This window comes from Homo sapiens, chromosome 9 (assembly GCF_000001405.40).
Source record: "Homo sapiens chromosome 9, GRCh38.p14 Primary Assembly".
Lineage (NCBI taxonomy): Eukaryota > Metazoa > Chordata > Mammalia > Primates > Hominidae > Homo > Homo sapiens.
This window is the reverse complement of record NC_000009.12, coordinates 41126355-41140526: the sequence shown is the minus strand read 5'-3', so window position 1 is coordinate 41140526 and position 14172 is coordinate 41126355. Positions and strand designations below refer to the sequence as shown.

The following is a 14172-nucleotide window of genomic DNA, read 5'->3' as shown; positions in this document are numbered from 1 at the left end:
GAAGAAATAAAATAATTGTCATTTAAAAATGCATATTATTATTACCTTATGCTATAAAAATAGTTTTAAAATAGAGTATGTTTATTAAGATTTAAAAATAAGTATAGTCATGCACTGCATAACAGCGTTTTAGTCAGACTGCATAAGATTATGATGGAGCTGAAAAATTACTGTCACACAAATACCATTGTGTTATTATTTCGATACACTGTTCAGTACAGTAACATATATGCTGTACAGGTTTGTAGCCTAGGAGCAACAGGCTATACAGCATAGCTTAGGTGTGTAGTAGGTTATACCATCTAGGTTTGTGTAAGTACACTATCATGTTTGTATAACAACAAAATTGCCCAACAGCTCATTTCTCTTTATGTATCCATGACTGTATATTTTTTATTGTGGTAAAAAACACTTAACGTGAGACCTACCTTCTTCCACAAATTTTTAAGGGTACAATATAGTATTGTTAACTGTATGTACATTGTTATATAGCAGATCTCTAGAACTTTTCATCTTGCATGACTAAAATTATACCCATTGAACAGCACCTCCCAATTTTCGTCTCCCTCTGACCCCTGGTAACCACCATTTTACTTTCTGATTTGATGAGTTTTACTGTTTTAGACACCTGATATTAGTGGATTCATGCAATATTTGTCCTTCTGTGACTGGCTTATTTCACTTAGTGTAATGTCCTCAAGATTCATCCATGTTGTAGTATATGACAGGATTTTTTTTAAGGATACATAATATTTGGTTGTATGTATATTACCACATTTATTTTATCCATTCAACTGTCCTGGACATTTAGGTGGTTGTTAGTGTCTTGGCTGCTGTGACAAAATAAGTACTTTTAAAAGTCTCACATTTGCAAGTTCAATTTGAATCTTTTTTTAGTCTGCTTGTACTTCTCTTATCAAGCAAGAAAGCACTTTTCCGCTTTTCCTATTACTAGTAACAGTGGAGATTAAATATCTCATGTTTTTGGGCGTTCTAGAGCCCAACACATCACCTGTTCCTTTCCATACTACCACAACTGACACTCTCTGGAAAGTGCCACCTCCCTGCAGCAGGCCAACCAGCACAAAAATAGTACATTAAACCAGCAAAGCTAAGAACCCTCAAAGAGTACATTTCACCCTCCTACCACCTCCACTGGAACAGGTGCTGGTATCCACAGCTGAGAGACCCACAGATGGTTCACATCTCCCGACTCTGTGCAGACTACCCCCCAGTACCAGCCTGGAGCCTGGTAGACTTGCTGGGTGGCTAGATTCAGAAGAGAGATAGCAATCACTACAGCTCAGCTCTCAGGAAGCCACATCCATAGGAAAAGGGAGAGAGTACTACATCAAGGGAACACCCCGTAGGATGAAAGAATCTGAACAACAACCTTCAGCCCTAGACCTTCTCTCTGACAGAGCCTACCCAAATGAGAAGGAACCAGAAAACCGACCCTGGTAGTATGACAAAACAAGGTTCTTTAACACCCCCCAAAAAATCACACTAGCTCACCAGCAATGGATCCAAACTAAGAAGAAATCCCTGACTTACTTGAAAAAGAATTCACTAGGTTGGTTATTAAGCTAAGGCACCAGAGAAAGGTGAAGCCCAATGTAAGGATATATATATAAAAAAAAAAGATACAAGAAGTAAAGGGAGAAATATTCAATGAACTAGATAGCATAAATAAAAAACAATCAAAACTTTAGGAAATAATGGACATACTTATAGAAATATAAAATGCTCTGGAAAGTCTTAGCAATAGAATTGAACAAGTAGAAGAAGGAAATTCAGAGCCTGAAGACAAGGTCTTCTAATTAACCAAATCCAATAAAGACAAAGAAAAAAGAATAAGAAAATATGAAGAAAGCCTTCAAGAAATCTGGAATTATGTTAAATGACCAAACCTAAGAATAACCGGCATTCCTGAGGAAGAAGAGAAATCTAAACGTTTGTTAAACATATTTGGGGGAATAATTGAGGAAAACTTCCCCAGCTTTGCTAGAGACCTAGATCCAAATACAAGAAGCACAAAGAACATCTGGGAAATTCATCGCAAAAAGATCATCATCTAGGCACATTGTCGTCAGGTTATCTAAAGTTAAGATGAAAGAAAGAGCTGTGAAACAAAAGCACCAGGTAACCTGTAAAGGAAAACTTACCAGATTAACAGCACATTTCTCAGCAGAAACCCTGCAAGCCAGAAGGGATTGGAACCCTATCTTCAGCCTCCTCAAACAAAACAATTATCAGCTGAGAATTTTGTATTCAGCAAAACTAAGCTTCATATATGAAGGCAAGATACAGCTTTTTCAGACAAACAGAGAATTCACCACTACCAAGCCACCAGTGCAAGAATGCTAAAAGGAACTCTAAATCTTGAAACAAATCCGGGAAACATATCAAAACAGAACCTCTTTAAAGCATAAATATCACAGGACCTATAAAACAAAAATACAATTAGAAAAACAACAAAAAACAAAAAAACAAGGTATACAGGCAACAAATAGCATGATGAATAGAGTGGTACCTCACATCTCAATACTAACATTGAATATAAATGGCCTAAATGCTCCACTTAAAAGATACAGAATTGCAGAATAGGTAAGAATTCACCAACCAACTATCTGTTGCCTTCAAGAGTCTCATCTAACACATAAGGACTCACATAAACTTAAGGTAAAGGGATGGACCGAGACATTTCATGCAAACGGACACCAAATGTGAGCAGGAGTAGCCATTCTTATATTAGACAAAACAAACTTTAAAGAAACAGCAGTTTAAAAAGACAAAGAGGGACATTATATAATGAAAAAAGGCCTTGTCCAACAGGAAAGTATCACAATCCTAAACATATGCACCTAACACTGGAGCTCCCAAATTTATAAAAGAATTACTAATAGACCTAAAAAATTAGACAGACAGCAACACAATAATAGTGAGGGATTTTAATACTCCACTGACAGCACTGGACAGGTCATCAAGACAGAAAGTCAACAAAGAAACAGTGGATTTAAACTATACCTTGGAACAAATGGAGTTAAAAGATATATACAGAATATTCCATGCAACAACCACAGAATATACGTTCTGTTCAACAGCACATGAACTTTCTGTAAGATAGACCATATGATAGCCAACAAAATGAGCCTCAATAAATTTTAAGAAAATTAAAATTATATCAAGCACTTTCTCAGACCACAGTGGAATAAAACTGGAAATCAACTCCAAAAGGAACCTTCAAAACCATGCAGATACATGGAATAACCTGCTCCTGAATGATCATTGGGTCAAAGATGAAATCAAGATGGAAATGTAAAAATTCCTCAAACTGAATGACAATAGTGACACAACCTATCAACCTCTGGGATACAGCAAAGGTGGTGCTAAGAGGAAAGTTCATAGCCCTAAATGCCTACATCAAAAAGTTGGAAAGAGCACAGACAATCTAAGGTCACATCTCAAAGAACTAGAGAAACAAGAACAAACCCAGCAGAAGAAAGAAGATCAGAGCGGAATTAAATGAAATTGAAACAAAACAACAAAAAAATCCAAAAGATAAATGAAACAAAAAGCTGGTTCTTTGAAAAGATAAATAAAATTGATAGACCGTTAGCAAGATTAGCCAAGAAAAGAGAGAAAATCCAAATAAGCTCAATAAGAAATGAAACGGGAGATATTACAACTGACACCACAGAAATACAAAAGATATTCAAGGCTACCATGAACACCTTTACATGCATAAACTAGAAAACCTAAAATAGATGGATAAATTCCTGGAAAGATACAACCCTCCTAGCTTAAATCAGGAAGAATTACCCTGAACAGACCAGTAACAAGCAGGGAGATTGAAATGGTAATTAAAAAATTACCAACAAAAAAATGTCCAGGACTAGACGGATTCACAACAGAATTCCACCAGATATTCAAAGAAGAATTGGTACCAGTCTTAAAGACACTATTCCACAAGAGAGAGAAAGAAGGAATCCTCCCTAAATCATTCTATGAAGCCAGTATCACCCTAATACCAAAACCAGGAAAGGACAACCAAAGAAGAAAACTACAGACCAATATCCTTGAACATAGATGCTAAAATCCTTAAGAAAATTCTAGCTAACTGATTCCAACAACATATCAAAAAGATAATCCACCATGATCAAGGGGTTTCATACCAGGGATGCAGGGATGGTTTAACATACACATGTGCGTAGCCAAAGCAAGACTAAGCAAAAAGAACAAATCTGAAGGCATCACATTACCTGATTTCAAACTTATACTATAAGGCCATAGTCACCAAAACAGCATGGTACGGTTATAAAAATAGGCACATGGACCAATGGAACAGAATAGAGAACCCAGAAATAAACCCAAATACTTACAGCCAACTGATCTTCAACAAAGCAAACAAAAACGTAAAGTGGAAAAAGGATACCCTTTTCAACAAATGGTGCTGGGATAATTGGCTAGCCACATGTAGGAGAATGAAACTGGATCCTCCTCTCTCACTGTATACAAAAATCAACCCAAGATAAATTAAAGACTTAAATCTAAGACCTGAAACTATAAAAATTCTAAAAGATACCATTGGAAAAATCATTCTAGACATTGGCTTAGGCAAGGATTTCATGAACCCAAAAGCAAATGCAATAAAAACAAAGATAAATAGCTGGGACTTAATTAAACTAAAGAACTTTTGCAGAGCAAAAGGAAAAGTCAGGAGAGTAAACAGACAACCCACAGAGAAGGAGAAAATCTTTCATAATATATACATCTGAAAAAGAACAAATATCCAGAATCTACAATGAACTCCAACAAATCAGCAAGAAAAGCAGTCCCATCAAAAAGTGGGCTAAGGACATGAATAGACAATTCTTAAAAGAAGATATACAAATGGCCAATAAACATATGGAAAAATGCTCAACATCACTAATGATCAGGGAAATGCAAATCAAAACCACAGTGCGATACCACCTTACTTCTGCAAGAATGGCCATAATAAAAAAATCAAAAAAATAGTAGATGTTGGCATGGATGTGGTGAACACGGAACACTTCTACACTGCTGGTGGGAATGTAAACTAGTACAACCACTATGGAAAACAGTGTGGAGATTCCTTAAAGAACTAAAAGTAGAACTACCATTTGGTCCAGCAATCCCACTACTAGATATCCACCCAGAGGAAAAGAAGTCATTATACAAAAAAGATACGTGCACACGCATGTTTATAGCAGCACAATTCGCAATTGCAAAAACGTGGAACCAACCCAAATGCCCATCAATCAATGCGTGGATAAAGTAACTGTGATATATATACATACAATGGAATACTCCTCAGCCATAAAAAGGAGTGAATTAATGGCATTCACAGTGACCTGGATAAGATTGGAGACTATTATTCTAAGTGAAAGAACTCAGGAATGGAAAACCAAACATCGCTATGTTCTCACTCGTAAGTGGGAGCTAAGCTATGAGGATGCAAAGGCATAAGAATGACACAATAAACTTTGGGGACTCAGGGAGAAAGGGTGGGAAGGGGATGAGGAATAAAAGACAGAAATTGGGTGCAGTGTATACTGCTCAGGTGATGGGTGTACCAAAATCTCACAAATCACCACTAAAGAAGTTAACCAACACCACCTGTTCCCCAGTAACCTATGGAAAGAAAGAAATGTCTCATATGTTTCTGCCTAAATTGGTCTTTAATACTTTAGCGATTCTCTTGAGTTTGGATTATAAAATAGTTTTGGTCTTTTTGTATTTTCTGCTGTAAGCCTGTATGATTATGTAATGGTGAGTAAAATTGCTAGGCCAGATACGCAGTTCTAGGAAGTTATGCAAAGATGTGCTTTAGTATATTATTTTCTACCTTTTTAAATTCATTTTGAGCTTGGCTTTTGAGCCTCTATTTTCCAAGGTGGGGTGTATGTTTTTATAATGTTATGCTTAGCCCTTGTGTATTTTCATCTCTGAGTTTGAAATTTGGGGTTATATTGGCAAAGGGAGGTTTGGGTTTTAATTAGGTGACCTGTTAGAGGAAATGTTAAGCTTCTGTTTCTTTAGGGTAGACAGTGAGAGATTTATCAAGATAAAGAAGAAAAATAAATCCTAAAGTTAATATTCAATACATGATGATGTCACCCTTACTAAAGCCAAAGAGGGCATTATCCTATCATTCTCATCACTAAGAACTCTTCTCCTCTTGGCACATGCTTATTCAGTTAAAGATAAGCCAAGCCTTTCTTTTGTATTTTTTTTTTAAGAGAACAAATTTACTTTGGTTCTGAGTTTTATTCCTGGCTCTGGGTAGCTTATTTTTTTGACCCTTATTTTCCCCAATTTATAAAATGAAATAGTTATCTTCACTCCCCAGGATTGTTGTGAAGAGTAAGTCAAAAGATACAATGAGGTGACTCAGGCAAAAGTACCTGGCCCTGTATAGTGAGTACATTGTATGTGTTACATATATTCTTATTGCTGAGAATCCACGAAAGAATGAATTAAATAATGAGGACCCTTTCATCAGGGTTTTTGAGTGAGTTTTTTAAAATACAAGGTAGTAGTTTGTGTAAATACTAAATCCATTGGTACCTGTGCAGAATGTAGGAAATGGAGTTGCTAATTCCAAAAAAACAGCACATATGCTGAGGAAAGTATAATACCTAATATATATGGTTTAAGCAATGTAAAATTCCATGAATATGTTCCTTTCATCTTAAAATTTGTGATTTAAAAAACATTGATATCACTATAAAGAATTATTATTATTTCCCTTGATTTACAGAGTATTGTTACAATCACATTTGACGTACCAGGAAATGCAAAGGAAGAACATCTTAATATGTTTATTCAGGTGAATGCAATTTTTAACTGATTAATGATTTATCAATGGTTTTGTTACATAGTTGTTGCTATTAGCGATGGTTGGTCTTATTAAAATATGTCACTTGATACAGAATCTTCTGTGGGAAAAGAATGTGAGAAACAAGGACAATCACTGCATGGAGGTCATAAGGCTGAAGGTACAGTTTACTGTTGCAGACTTTTGGACAAAGTCCTTTTCTTGGCTGTTATAAAAACTATATTTGGTTTTAAACAGAAACACTGGTTTTAGTACAAATCATCTTTGTCTACTTTCATTTTTCTTTATTATTTTCATGACTGAAAAGGAGCTTTGGAAATCACTGCATAAGGCTTGATTTATTTGCACAACTTTCTTTAGGGTTGCAGCTAGAACAAACCTGTGTGCTTTGAAATGTTACCTTCTGCTCTCTGTTCCCAAGTACAGAGAAATAATGTTGCAAATCTCACTTCTGCTGAACATTATGCTTCCTGATGCATTTAGCAGACACTAAACATTTGTTGTACTCTAAACAAAGTTACAAAGGACTAGAAGAATTCTTGTTCTGTATTTAGAAACCCACTCACATTACTTGATATTTGGGTATTTAAGTCATGAAAGGTATTTCTTCTAGGAAGCAGTGATTCTAAAGTGTATGCTTAACCAGTCAGTTGAGTGTCTACTCTTGTGTGTTCACAAGTGTGCACAAAGTTTTTGGTAAATTAAGAATATTATTTCAAATAAATTAATTTCATCCCCATAGGAGCCAGTTTATCAGATAATTCGTTTCTCATTTCTGCAAATCAATACACAATGAGCTCATATTCAGATAAATTGAGCTCATATCCAGATAAATATAATAGTTTTTCTTTATTTCAACATTGTTCATTGATTGCAACCCATTTCTAAAACAAATTATTTAATATAACCAAACTCCTTTAACTTCTCAACTTTTCCCACTAAAACTGTGAAACATTATATAAAATCTTTAATCAATAGGATATGATACATATTTCATCATTTTGTTTCAGGTTTTGGTTGTGATAAATAACACTGAAAAACCATCCTAATATATGTATTAACTTTATCATTAGAAAAGGGGATTGTTCAAAAAAAAAATCAATACACAGAAACCTTTTTTGAAAATTAAAAACATTAAGAAACTTCTTGTAATTCACAAATAATTGGAATTAAGTAATTTTCTCAGCTTAAGAGTTTGTATTTTTTAAGTGAATATCAGTAATTAATCCATTAACATTGATGCTCTATTTCTGCTTTTAAGTTTGAACTGAGGCTGATTAATGTTCAGTCAATTCTCCTTTGAGCAGGGATTGGTGTCAATCAAAGACAAATCACAACAAGTGATTGTCCAGGGTGTCCATGAGCTCTGTGATCTGGAGGAGACTCCAGTGAGCTGGAAGGATGACACTGAGAGAACAAATCGATTGGTCCTCATTGGTAAGTCTCAAAGGATTCACAGTTTTGAAACAAAGTGAAAAATATATTTGAAAGGGATATCATGTGCCACTTAAACAGATTAACCATTCAGGTCCTCTTTTAAAACTAAATAAGCTTGTGGTCAATGTTTCATCTTTGTCACGTTACAATGTTCGTAAAAGCTTGTTAGGACTTTTGTTCTTCTTCAATTTTAGAAAAGTGGTTAATCCAAGGACCAATGTGACTTTGATGTACTGACCTGGAAAGTTAAAGATGGAATCACTCAATTACTATTCTTTTTGTAAATTTTTAAACACCATAAAGCATTTAATGAACTGGAATTGATAGGTGAACTGTGTCATTTTAATAAGCATAATGTAATCACGTCATATTTTGTTTTGTTTGCAGGCAGAAATTTAGATAAGGATATCCTTAAACAGCTGTTTATAGCTACTGTGACAGAAACAGAAAAGCAGTGGACAACACATTTCAAAGAAGATCAAGTTTGTACATAACACTAGAGGCATTTCTTATCAAAAGGATTGGATAATAAAAATAAGTTTCTACTGGGTATATTTCAAGCATTTATTTATTACTTTAGTTACGAATTCCAATATACTTTAAAATGGTATTTGTTTTACAGCATACATAAAATGTAGCAAATCAGTACTGTAAAACATTTAACATTCATACAATTATATACAATATCCTTTTTTTTAAAGAATGGTATTTCACAAAAATATCTTTTGAAATTGGCTTTGGAGTTTACATATACTGAACATGAAAGTTTATAATAATGATGATACAACTTTCAACATTGTCATTTTTTCTTAGAACTTCAGCTGATTGCAGAGATATAATGATTACATTGTTATTAAATTTTTTTAACACAAGTAAGTGTCACCATTTTATGACATGAAATAAAAGGTTATGACTGTTATTGATGTTGATGTTGACGACCTGATCACCTGGCTGAAGGAGTGTTTGTCAGGTTTCTGCATTGTAAAGTTACTCTTCTCCCCCATTTCATACTGTGCTCTTTGGAAGGAAATCACTATGCACAGCCCACACTAAAGGAATGGGGAGTTGTAGTGTACTTTCTTGGGAGTGGTCTACATAATTAATTGAAATTCTTCTGCAAGGGACAGTTGTCCCTTTCGCTTTATTAGTTCGATCATTTATGTTTATCAGTGTGGACACATGAATATTTTATACTTTGGGTTACAATTTAATACTACTTTATTTTGTTGCTCAAATTATCCCAGCTTTGACCATTGGGAACTCTTTCCGTTATCTCCTGTTCCCCCCTTTGACATACCCCCATCAGTGTGGGTTTTGTGTTTTGTTTTTGAGCGCCTCCTTATTTTTCTCCTGTATTTTTAAATAACCCCAATCCCTATTGAAGCTGGCTCTAGGAAAACTAATACTCCCTTTCCCAGGTCATCCGATTCCTATGCTGATGGAGGAAATTTGCCTCACATGCTGGGGGGCGCTGGGGAGGAGGCGTCTGGGATTATGTGGTTGAATAAGACACCTGGCCTGGCCCTCCTGGAGCTTAGTTTAGTAGGTCACACAAGCAGTCATTGGTAAATTTGGGATTCAAACAAATCTGTTAGGCTCAAACCTGTCTGTTATTTGTCCTCCAAGCTTCATATAAACTGAGGAGCCTTAAAGGGTAAAAACTTCAGGAGCAGCAAAGTTTCAAAAAAAGATCAGCAAGAAAGCTCTTTTCCAGATTTTATCCTGAAGGCACTAGCTACTTTAAGCTATTTTTTATTATATTTTGCCCTTGCAGTTGGCGTTTGATTTCTCACTGAACATTCATTGTCATAATTATAGACACTATGTGACTATCAAGGGCATAATATTCTTTCATGCTGCATTTTTATTAGATGGCACCTCAAAGTTTTCCCAAGTAGGTGGGTTTTAAATTATGAATATATACCGTGGCATAGTATCTTACTTAGTATTTTAATAAGATTCTTATTTATATAACAAATTTTTTTTATTCCTCTGTAGTGCTACTTTAGTCTCTGAGCTAATTTTCATGAAGCCAATCTAAAAATCGTGTTACTTCTAAGGATGTGGAGGGAGTGAGATGAACAGTTGTGCTGTCATATTGCCCCTCCCCAGTGCAGATAGTGAATGAGGACCCACTGATTTAAAGGCAACACTGCAGCCCCTTCTTGCCTCATTGAAGTCCCAAGTTTTATTACAGTAAAAGCACTTAATGTTGACATTTCTGAAAGAATGAAGAGGCTGGGCATGGCGGCTCACGCCGGTAATCCCAGCACTTTAGGAGGCTGAGGCAAGCGGATCATGAGGTCAGGACATCGAGACCATCCTGGCTAACACGGTGAAACCCCGTCTCTACTAAAAATATTAGCCAGGCGTGGTGGCGAGCGCCTGTAGTCCCATCTACTTGGGAGGCTGAGGCAGGAGAATGGCGTGAACCCAGGAGGCGGAGCTTGCAGTGAGCTGAGATCGCCCCACTGCACTCCAGCCTGGGCGACAGAGCGACTCCGTCTCAAAAAAAAAAAAAGAAAAAAAAAAAAAAGAATGAAGAGCCAGAGCCAGGCATAGTGGCACGCCTGTAGTCCCACCTACTCAGGAGGCTGAGGCGGGAGGATCACTTGAGCCCAGGAATTCAAAGCCAGCCTGCGCAACATAGACCCTGTCTCTAAAAATGAATTGGTTATAAAGGATGAAGAAAGGAAGGAGGAAAGGGAGAGAGAGAAGCCCTTATAGAGTGGGTGCATTTCTTGTATGTGGGGCCACTTTGTAAGAACAGGATTTTTCAAACTGGGCCCATACTGGTATGTGTGAAATCAATTTAGTTGGTTATGGCCATTTTTTTTTAAAAGGAAATATCAGTGATCACTATAGTGTAAGTATATTGTTTCGTGAAACCCATCTTAGTTATGTATTATGTCTGTATGTGTGAGATTGTGATATAAAATGTATTTCTGTGGTTAAATATTCAAAGAAATTGGAGAACCATTGCTACAAGGGGACAGAGGACTCCGTGTGAGCTCTCCTGCCTTCCCTGAGTAAACTTACACAATTTAGTGCTGGGACATTTGAGCCTTTTCTGAAAATTTGAGTCAGGGAGAGCATCTTGAGGAGGTGGGAAGGAAGGTAGAAGGAGCAAAGCAACACCCCCCTGAAGCCTGGGAATATTGTCAGAACCTTAAATATAATTCAGCTCACCATTCTGGGTAAGGGCAGACTCTACCAATGAAAATGGGTGATTACCAGCTGTGAAACACAAAAACATACTTTTACGGTTACACATTCCTTTACAAACAACCGTGTACATTTCAGCCTCCTGCCCCACCATTTCTTTTCTCCAGGCGGGAAGGCTGCATGTTGAGGTGGTCATAGAATGTTGAGTATCATACTTTCCTACCTCGCTTTTATTTGCGCGGGTTTAAATGCGCCTTAACAGAACCCGTGCAAAGGCTTGCCAACTGTCTGGCTGCACCGGATGAGTAGAGCATCTTCCTTGGTGGCAGGTGGGTGCGAGGAGGAGGGGGCTGGGCTTTTCTCCGGACGGGTGTTTGCCCAGAAGACCATCATCCCTGGACTACGTTAGGAGGAAGTGGCACCGCTCCGAGGTAGGGGAAGAAGGGTTATAAAGGGGGGAGTCCACCACACATGGTCTTGAAGAAGCTTTTATAAAAGGCAAAGGCATCTTTGCCGGACGTTGTTGCAAAGGAGTAGAAACAAGCAGACGAAAACATCCCAAAGGGTAACCACTAGCGTTCCTGCTTCTTGCAACATTCATCCCAGGCTTCCAGCTCAGCCCGCCCCAGGCTAGGTGATCGGTCGCCACATCCCCTGCGACTGAAGCACCTGCTCCTCCATGAACCTGCCAAGAGCTGAGCGCCTTCGCTCCACACCGCAGCGCAGCCTCCGGGACTCCGATGGGGAAGACGGTAAAATCGATGTCCTGGGAGAGGAGGAAGATGAAGACGAGGTGGAAGACGAGGAGGAGGCGGCGAGCCAGCAGTTCCTAGAGCAGTCGCTCCAGCCGGGGCTGCAGGTGGCCCGGTGGGGCGGGGTTGCGCTTCCCCGAGAGCACATCGAGGGCGGCGGCGGCCCGAGCGACCCCTCAGAGTTTGGCACCAAGTTCAGGGCACCGCCAAGGTCTGCGGCGGCCTCTGAAGATGCCCGGCAGCCGGCAAAGCCCCCCTACTCGTACATCGCGCTCATCACCATGGCCATCCTGCAAAACCCGCACAAGCGCCTCACGCTCAGCGGCATCTGCGCCTTCATTAGTGGCCGCTTCCCCTACTACCGCCGCAAGTTCCCCGCCTGGCAGAACAGCATCCGCCACAACCTCTCGCTGAACGACTGCTTCGTTAAGATCCCCCGCGAGCCGGGCCACCCAGGCAAGGGCAACTACTGGAGCCTGGACCCCGCCTCCCAAGACATGTTCGACAATGGCAGCTTTCTCCGGCGTAGGAAGCGTTTCAAGCGCCACCAACTGACCCCGGGAGCCCACCTGCCCCACCCCTTCCCTCTACCTGCTGCACACGCCGCCCTGCACAACCCCCACCCAGGCCCTCTGCTTGGGGCCCCTGCCCCGCCGCAGCCAGTCCCGGGGGCCTACCCCAACACCGCCCCCGGGAGACGCCCTTACGCTCTGCTGCACCCGCATCCTCTTCGCTACCTACTGCTCTCGGCCCCCGTCTATGCCGGGGCACCGAAGAAAGCAGAAGGCGCGGCCCTGGCGACCCCGGCACCCTTCCCGTGCTGCAGCCCTCACTTGGTCCTCAGCCTTGGGAGGAGGGCAAGGGTCTGGCGTCGCCACCGGGAGGCGGATGCATCTCTTTCAGCATTGAGAGTATTATGCAAGGGGTCAGGGGAGCGGGTACAGGGGCTGCGCAGAGTTTGTCCCCGACCGCGTGGAGCTACTGCCACCTGCTCCAGCGACCATCAAGCCTGTTGCATCCCCAGACCGCTGCCCCTTTGCTGCAAGTGTCCGCCGCCGCCGCTGCTCGGACAATTTTGCAGCAATAGCAGCAGCATCAGGAGGAGGACTGCGCCAACGGCTGCGCTCCCACCAAGGGCGCGGTGCTGGGCGGGCACCTGTCGGCCTCGTCGGCCCTGCTGAGGTATCAGGCAGTGGCAGAGGGCTCTAGGCTGACATCGCTGGCTGCCCCTTTGGGCGGAGAGGGGACCTCACCAGTTTTTTTAGTATCGCCCACGCCCAGTTCCCTGGCCAACTCCGCAGGGCCCTCCTAGAGCCAGGTGGGAGTGGGGAGCGACCCGCAGCTGCTCACTTCACCTTGCGCGGCCCATTCAGGGCGTGTGCATCTGAATCCCGCTGGAGAGCAAACACGAACTTCTGTTCGCTGCAAAATGGTTAGAAAGAAACAGCTGGATTACGTTCCTCTAAAAACCACCTGAACGTAACCTTCGCAGGGCGTCAAGTCATCTTTTCTTGCCTTCGGTTGTGGCTTCTATGGCTGTCCCGATTTGCGCATTTCCTGGGGTACTATGAACGTGAGTGGGGTATTTTGTTCTGGCATTAAAAGAAAAACAAGCAAGCAAACAAAAACACAGCCTCCGATGCCAAACATGTTCCCCCTTCTTCACTTCCTTGGAGCTGGAAGTATTATTCCTAAGTCTAGTGCAAAATGCTTCTACTCTCTGTGTCTTCCTGATAGGGATGTTTAATGTAAGTAGGATATTAATTTCAGAACATTGATTTCTTATCTGTGTGTCTGACGTGCCATCTTTAATGTTAAAATTAAGGTGTTAAAATTAAGCCTAGTTATATAGACGAAATAAAATGCTAAGTCACTACACTACATCGTTTATTTTCTATTACATCTCATTCTTCCCTTTCTAAATGGAACTTTTTAAAACCTACGTTACTTTCCCTC

The 14172-nt window shown here is 40.0% G+C and overlaps 2 protein-coding genes across 24 annotated transcripts in view; both read left to right on the top strand.

Moving 5' to 3' along the window:
- ZNG1F (Zn regulated GTPase metalloprotein activator 1F) overlaps nt 1-9218 on the top strand; it is a 74427-nt gene extending 65209 nt beyond the window's left edge. For 21 of the 23 annotated variants that reach the window (NR_170339.1, XM_017015028.2, XM_047423722.1 and 18 more), the window contains 4 exons: nt 6785-6853; nt 6957-7022; nt 8170-8299; nt 8687-9218. Coding sequence is in view for 22 of the 23 variants with exons in the window: in XM_017015028.2 (XP_016870517.1) it covers nt 6785-6853; nt 6957-7022; nt 8170-8299; nt 8687-8793 (372 nt within the window). In the remaining variant the exon portion in view is untranslated. The remainder of the gene's footprint in view (nt 1-6784; nt 6854-6956; nt 7023-8169; nt 8300-8686) is intronic. The other 2 variants (XM_047423721.1, XM_017015026.2) reach the window with 1 other exon arrangement.
- A 2627-nt stretch (nt 9219-11845) lies between these two features.
- FOXD4L6 (forkhead box D4 like 6) lies at nt 11846-14092 on the top strand. Its single transcript, NM_001085476.4, has one exon. It carries the CDS (start codon nt 12144-12146, stop codon nt 13395-13397), a length of 1254 nt encoding a protein of 417 aa, NP_001078945.1. The 5' UTR covers nt 11846-12143; the 3' UTR covers nt 13398-14092.
- Nucleotides 14093-14172: the final 80 nt, after the last annotated feature.